General features: G+C 37.8%; 2 annotated features.

Annotated features, from left to right (window-relative positions):
- Nucleotides 4,606-4,775: an enhancer, noted in NCBI's record as "experimental_58616 CRE fragment used in MPRA reporter constructs". NCBI's record gives its function as "activates a minimal promoter by MPRAs in K562 erythroleukemia cells, with activity observed for the introgressed 2:57891305 or rs144892568 variant allele {active_cell/tissue: K562}" and the evidence as "EXISTENCE:reporter gene assay evidence [ECO:0000049][PMID:34662402]".
- Nucleotide 4,690: a transcriptional cis regulatory region, noted in NCBI's record as "Neanderthal adaptively introgressed variant 2:57891305 (GRCh37/hg19 assembly coordinates) or rs144892568 in the experimental_58616 CRE". NCBI's record gives its function as "modulates activity of the experimental_58616 enhancer by MPRAs in K562 erythroleukemia cells {active_cell/tissue: K562}" and the evidence as "EXISTENCE:reporter gene assay evidence [ECO:0000049][PMID:34662402]".

The following is a 5,433-nucleotide window of genomic DNA, read 5'->3' as shown; positions in this document are numbered from 1 at the left end:
CATTTTCTTTATCCAGTCTATCATTGATGCGCATTTGGGTTGGTTTCAAGTCTTTGCTATTGTGAATAGTGCTGTAATAAATATATGTGTGCATGTGTCTTTATAGTAGAATGATTTATAATCCTTTGGGTATATACCCAGTAATGGGATTGCTGGGTCAAATGGTATTTCTGGTTTTAGATCTTTGAGGTATTGCCACACTGCCTTCCACAATGGTTGAACTAATTTACACTCCCACCAACAGTGTAAAAGCATTCCTATTTCTCCACATCCTCTCAAGCAAAAAGCGTTTCTTATTGACTGTCAAATACCATAGACAGTGCCAGTCACAATTGAATTGCTAAAATTAAATGTAATTTTTTATAAAAAATAAGATATAAATTAAGATGTAGATGAAAAGTTTGGAGAGGTTTTGGAATAATTCATACTTCCATTAGGTTCTCTGCAGTGACTGTTTGGGAAACCAATGAGTTTCTTCTTTCTTTATTCTCCCTCTCTATTCATCTTCCCTTCACTCCTTGTCCTTTCTCCATTTTCTCATCATTTTTATAAGTCCAAGTAAGCAAAATTTCAGCCCTATTTCATAAAAATTGTCTCATGCAGCACTTCCCATTATTAAGATATGTTTATAAACCTTTAATACCATCCATCAATTTATAGCAAATTCTCAAATAAGGAAGTGGTCCTATCTGATACTTTATTTGGATGTCAATCATTTGCAGTCTTAAACAAGTTTTCACATATATGCAATATTGAAAATGTCAGTTTGTCTCCCAGGCCAGCCTATACAATCCTATTTAATTCATAGCATAATTTCCAAATCTTATTTTACAATAAAATTTGGAAAAATAAATGTACTCTAACACTTCTAATAAAACAAAATAATAAAATACCAAAATACAGTGATGATTTTTATTAAAAACATTGGAACTAGAGGAAATTAGATTTAATGGAACAGAGATAAGATAAATCTACAATTTAATAAACTCTCCTAGCATTTGTCAGGTACTCTGTATTTTACCTAGAATTCTTAGCCTTATAACACCCTGTAAAGTAGCTATTATTCCTGTTTTGCAGGTAAGTACTCTGAAGCTCAACAAGTTTAAGTAATTTATCTAGGGTCAAAAAACTGAAAAAAAGAATCCAAGGATGGGCCTAGAATGGTGGCTCACGCATGTAATCCCAGCACTTTTGGAGGCTGAGGTGGGTGGATCACCTGAGGTCAGCAGTTTGAGACCAGCCTGGTCAACAAGGTGAAATCCCATCTCTACTAAAAAAAATACAAAACTTAGCTGAGTGTGTGGGCATGCACCTGTAATCTCAGTAGCTTGGGAGGCTGAAGAATGGGAATCGCTTGAAGCCAAGAGGTGGAGGTTGCAGTGAGCCGAGATCCGGCCACTGCACTCCAGCCTGGGAAACAGAGTGAGACTCCTATCAAAATAATAATTAAAAAAAGAATCTGAGGATGAATTTTCTTAACCTGAGTATGATTAGCTTGAATTCTTTCTACCATCCCATGCTATGAGGAGTCCAGGTAGCTTCATTTCACTTTCAAAGATTTCACACTGAATATTCTTCACAGATTTCCTGACTAGGAAGGAACACTTGAAATGACTCTTTTTCAAATGCATTACTTTAAAACTGAAAAAACTAGGCAGGGTGTGGTGGCTCACGCCTGTAATCCCAGCACTTTGGGAGGCCGAGGCAGGAGGATCACCTGAGGTCAGGAGTTCGAGACGACCCTGGCCAACATGGTGAAACCCTGTCTCTACTGAAAATACAAAAAGTTAGCCAGGCATGGTGGCGTGTGCCTGTAATCCCAGCTATGCGGGAGACTGAAGCAGGAGAATCGCTGGAACCCAGGAGGCAGAGGTTGCAGTGAGATGAGATCATGTCACTGCACTCCAGCCTGAATGACAGAGCGAGACTGTCTCAAAAAAAAAAAAAAAAAAAAAAAAAAAGAAAAGAAAAGAAAAAGAAAAACCTGAGAAAACTAAGGCTGTACTTACAGGCAAGGCCAATCCCAAATTCTGTTTCTTTAGATTCTGGTGACTGCTTTCCTATTTCTAATGATAGTGACAAAATTAAAATTCTCATTATGTCTTGCCTAGATTATTGCAGTAGTTTCCTCGTTTGTCTCTCTGGCTTCAGTTAATAATCCTATATACTTCTATTCAAGTAAACTTATCAGATATAAATGCTTGAATAGATTCATAACTGAGTGGTTCTTAGGTTGGGACCAGGAGTGAATTCAGCAAAGGAGACTAAAAGATGTAACTGTCAAGGTATTTAGTACATTATTAAGCATATTACAAATGACAAACCAAGCATAGATGATGAGTATCATGAAACAAAGATTAGGTTTCATGCAATTCTGTGCCCATTTGCTATTTAAAATGAAGAAAACAAAAATTATTTGATTGCTTGCATTTTATTTCAGTAATTTTTCTTCATTACTGTGCTAATTATTTTAACTTCTACTCTTTGAAATCCTCTTCCCAGCCAAGTTCTGAAAAAACTGAATAAAAAAGTGTCAGATGGAGGCCAAAACATCAACTTCCTTACTAATAAAATGCAAGATGGAGGATGTAGCTTAGTATTAGGTAGATTTGCCATCTAGTTGGAGGCAGCCATAGACAGCCAAGGCCTCCCTACTCCCTAGCCTCACTAGTATTATAATTTTTCATCTCAAATTCCACTTTTTTGTTTCTTTTTATGGACCACATAGCAAAGGTTGCAACATTTATAGAAGTCCATTAAATAGCATCCCACTTCCTTGCCAGCTTTCTGAAAAATTGAAATAATATAAAAGGATTACCAATAGAAATCAGAATGTCAATTTTACTATTGACAAATGCTAAGTTGGAGGGCTTTGTTCCAGAACCAAATGGGCTTACTGAATATGCTCAAAAATTAGGTAGATTTACCAACTGTCCTAGTCTGTTTGTACTACTGTAACATAATACCATAAATTTATAATTTATAAAGAGCAGAAGTTTAGTTCTCACAGTTCTGAAGGCTGGGAAGTTGAAGATCAAGGCACCAGCATCTGGTAAGGGCCTTCTTGTTGCTTCCTCAAATGGCAGAAGGACAAAAGGGACAAATGCTCGTTCCTCATATGGCAAAAGAGTAAGAGAAAATTAACCCAATGCTTTGTGGTTTCTTTTATAAGGGACTTAAACACTACTTATGAGGGAGGAGCCCTCATGGTTTAACCACCTCTTAAAGACTCCACCTCTTAACATAAGCATACCTCATTTTGTTGCATTTTGCAGATATTGTGTTTTTTACAAATTAAAGGTTTGTGGCAACCCTGCATTGAGGAAGTTTGTCAGTACCATTTTTCTAATGGCATATGCTCATTTTGTGTCTCTGTGTCACATTTGGGTAATTCTTGCAATATTTCAAATTTTTTTATTATTCTGTTTCTTTTATGGTGATCTGTGATTAGCAATCTTTGATGTTACTATTGTAACTATTTTGCACTCCATGCACCTGCCTGTATGACACAGTGAACTTAATCCATAGATGTATGTGTTCTGACTGCTTTACCAACTGGATGTTTCCCCATTTCTCTTTCTGTCCCTGGGCCTCCCTATTCCCTGAGATGCAACAATAATGAAATTAGGCCAATTAATAACCCTACAGTGGCTTCTAAACGTTCAAGTGGAAGGAAGAGTTGCACATTTCTCACTTTAAATCAAAAGCTAGAAATGATAAAGCTTAGTGAGAAAGACATGTCAAAAGCTAAGATAAGCTAGGCCTCTTGCTCCAGACAGCCAAATTTTGAATTCAAAGGAAAAGTTTTTGAAGGAAATTAAAAGTACTACTTTAATCAACATAATACAAATGATAAGAAAGCAAAACAGCCTTATTGCTAATATGGAGAAAGTTTTAGTGGTCTGAATAGAATATCAAACCAGCCAAAACGTTCCTGTAAGCCAAAACCTAATCCAGAGCAAGGCCCAACTCTCTTCAATGCTATGGAGGCTGAGAGGTGAGGAAGCTGCAGAAGAAAAGTTTGAAGCTAGTAGAGGATGCTTTATGAGGTTTAAGGAAAGAAACTCTGCATAACATAAAAGTGCGGGATGAAGCATCAAGTGCTGCTGGAGAAGTGACATCAAGTTACTCGGAAGATGTAGCTAAGGTCATTGATGAATATGGTCACACTAAGCAATAGATTTTCAATGTAGATGAACCAGTCTTCTATTGGAAGGAAATGCCTCCAGAAGAGAAGTCAATGCCCGCTTTAAAGCTTCAAAGGATGGGCAGACTCTCTTGTTAAGGGCAATGCAGCTGGTGAAGCCAATGCTTACTTGTCATTCTAAAAATTCTGGGGCTTTTAAGAGTTATGTCAAATTGGCTATCTGTGCCCTATTAATGGAAAAACTAAGCCTAAATGACAGCACATTTGTTTACAGCATGGTTTGCTGAATATTTTAAGCCTGCTGTTGAGACATACTGCTCAGAAAAAACAAACAAAAAAAGCATTCCTTTCAAAATATTACTGTTCACTGACAATGCTCCTGGTCACTCAAGAGCTCCAGTGGAGATGTACATAGAGATTAATGTTTCCTTTCCTGCTAGCACATCATCTATTCTGCAGCCCATGGATCAAGGAGTAATTTTGACTTTGAAGTCCTGTTATTTAAGAAATAGGTTTATTATTACTATTATTATTATTTTTGAGATGGTGTTTCACTCTTGTTGCCCAGGCTGGAGTGCAATGGTGCAATCTCAGCTTACTGTAACCTCTGCCTCCTGAGTTCAAGCGATTCTCCTGCCACAGCCTCCCAAGTAGCTGGGGTTACAAGCATGTGCCGCCACAGCCTGCTAATTTTGTATTTTTAGTAGAGACAGGCTTTCACCATATTGGTCAGGCTGGTCTAGAACTCCTGACCTCAGGTGATCCACCTGCCTCAGCCTCCCAAAGTTGTGGGATTACAGGCATGAGCCACCACGCCTGGCCTAAGAAATACATTTCATAAGACTATAGCTGCCATTGATTGATAGGGATTCCTTGGATGGATCTGCCCAAAGTAAATTGAAGCCTTCTGGAAAGGATTCAACAGTCTAGATGACATTAAGAACATTTATAATTTATGTCAGGAGGTCAAAATATCAGCATTAATGAGGGATTGGAAGAAGTTGATTGCAGCCCTCATGCATGACTTTAAGGGGTTCAAATCTTCAGCAGAGGATATGATTATATATACACTGAAAAACAAAAAAAAATAGTGTGACTTGCTTCATTTAGATATTAGCTTTATTGTGGTGGTGTGGAACCAAACCCACAATATCTCTGAGGCATGCCTATACTATCACATTGGAAACAACTACATTTTGGAGGGAATATGTTCAAACCAGAGTGCCAACAGATGACCAGCAGTGCTGGACTTGGGCAGGCCCTCAGTTGGTGGAGGCAGGCAAAGA

This window comes from Homo sapiens, chromosome 2 (genome assembly GCF_000001405.40).
Source record: "Homo sapiens chromosome 2, GRCh38.p14 Primary Assembly".
NCBI lineage: Eukaryota > Metazoa > Chordata > Mammalia > Primates > Hominidae > Homo > Homo sapiens.
Note: the sequence above shows the minus strand (reverse complement) of the source record. Positions and strands in the feature narration are given on the sequence as shown.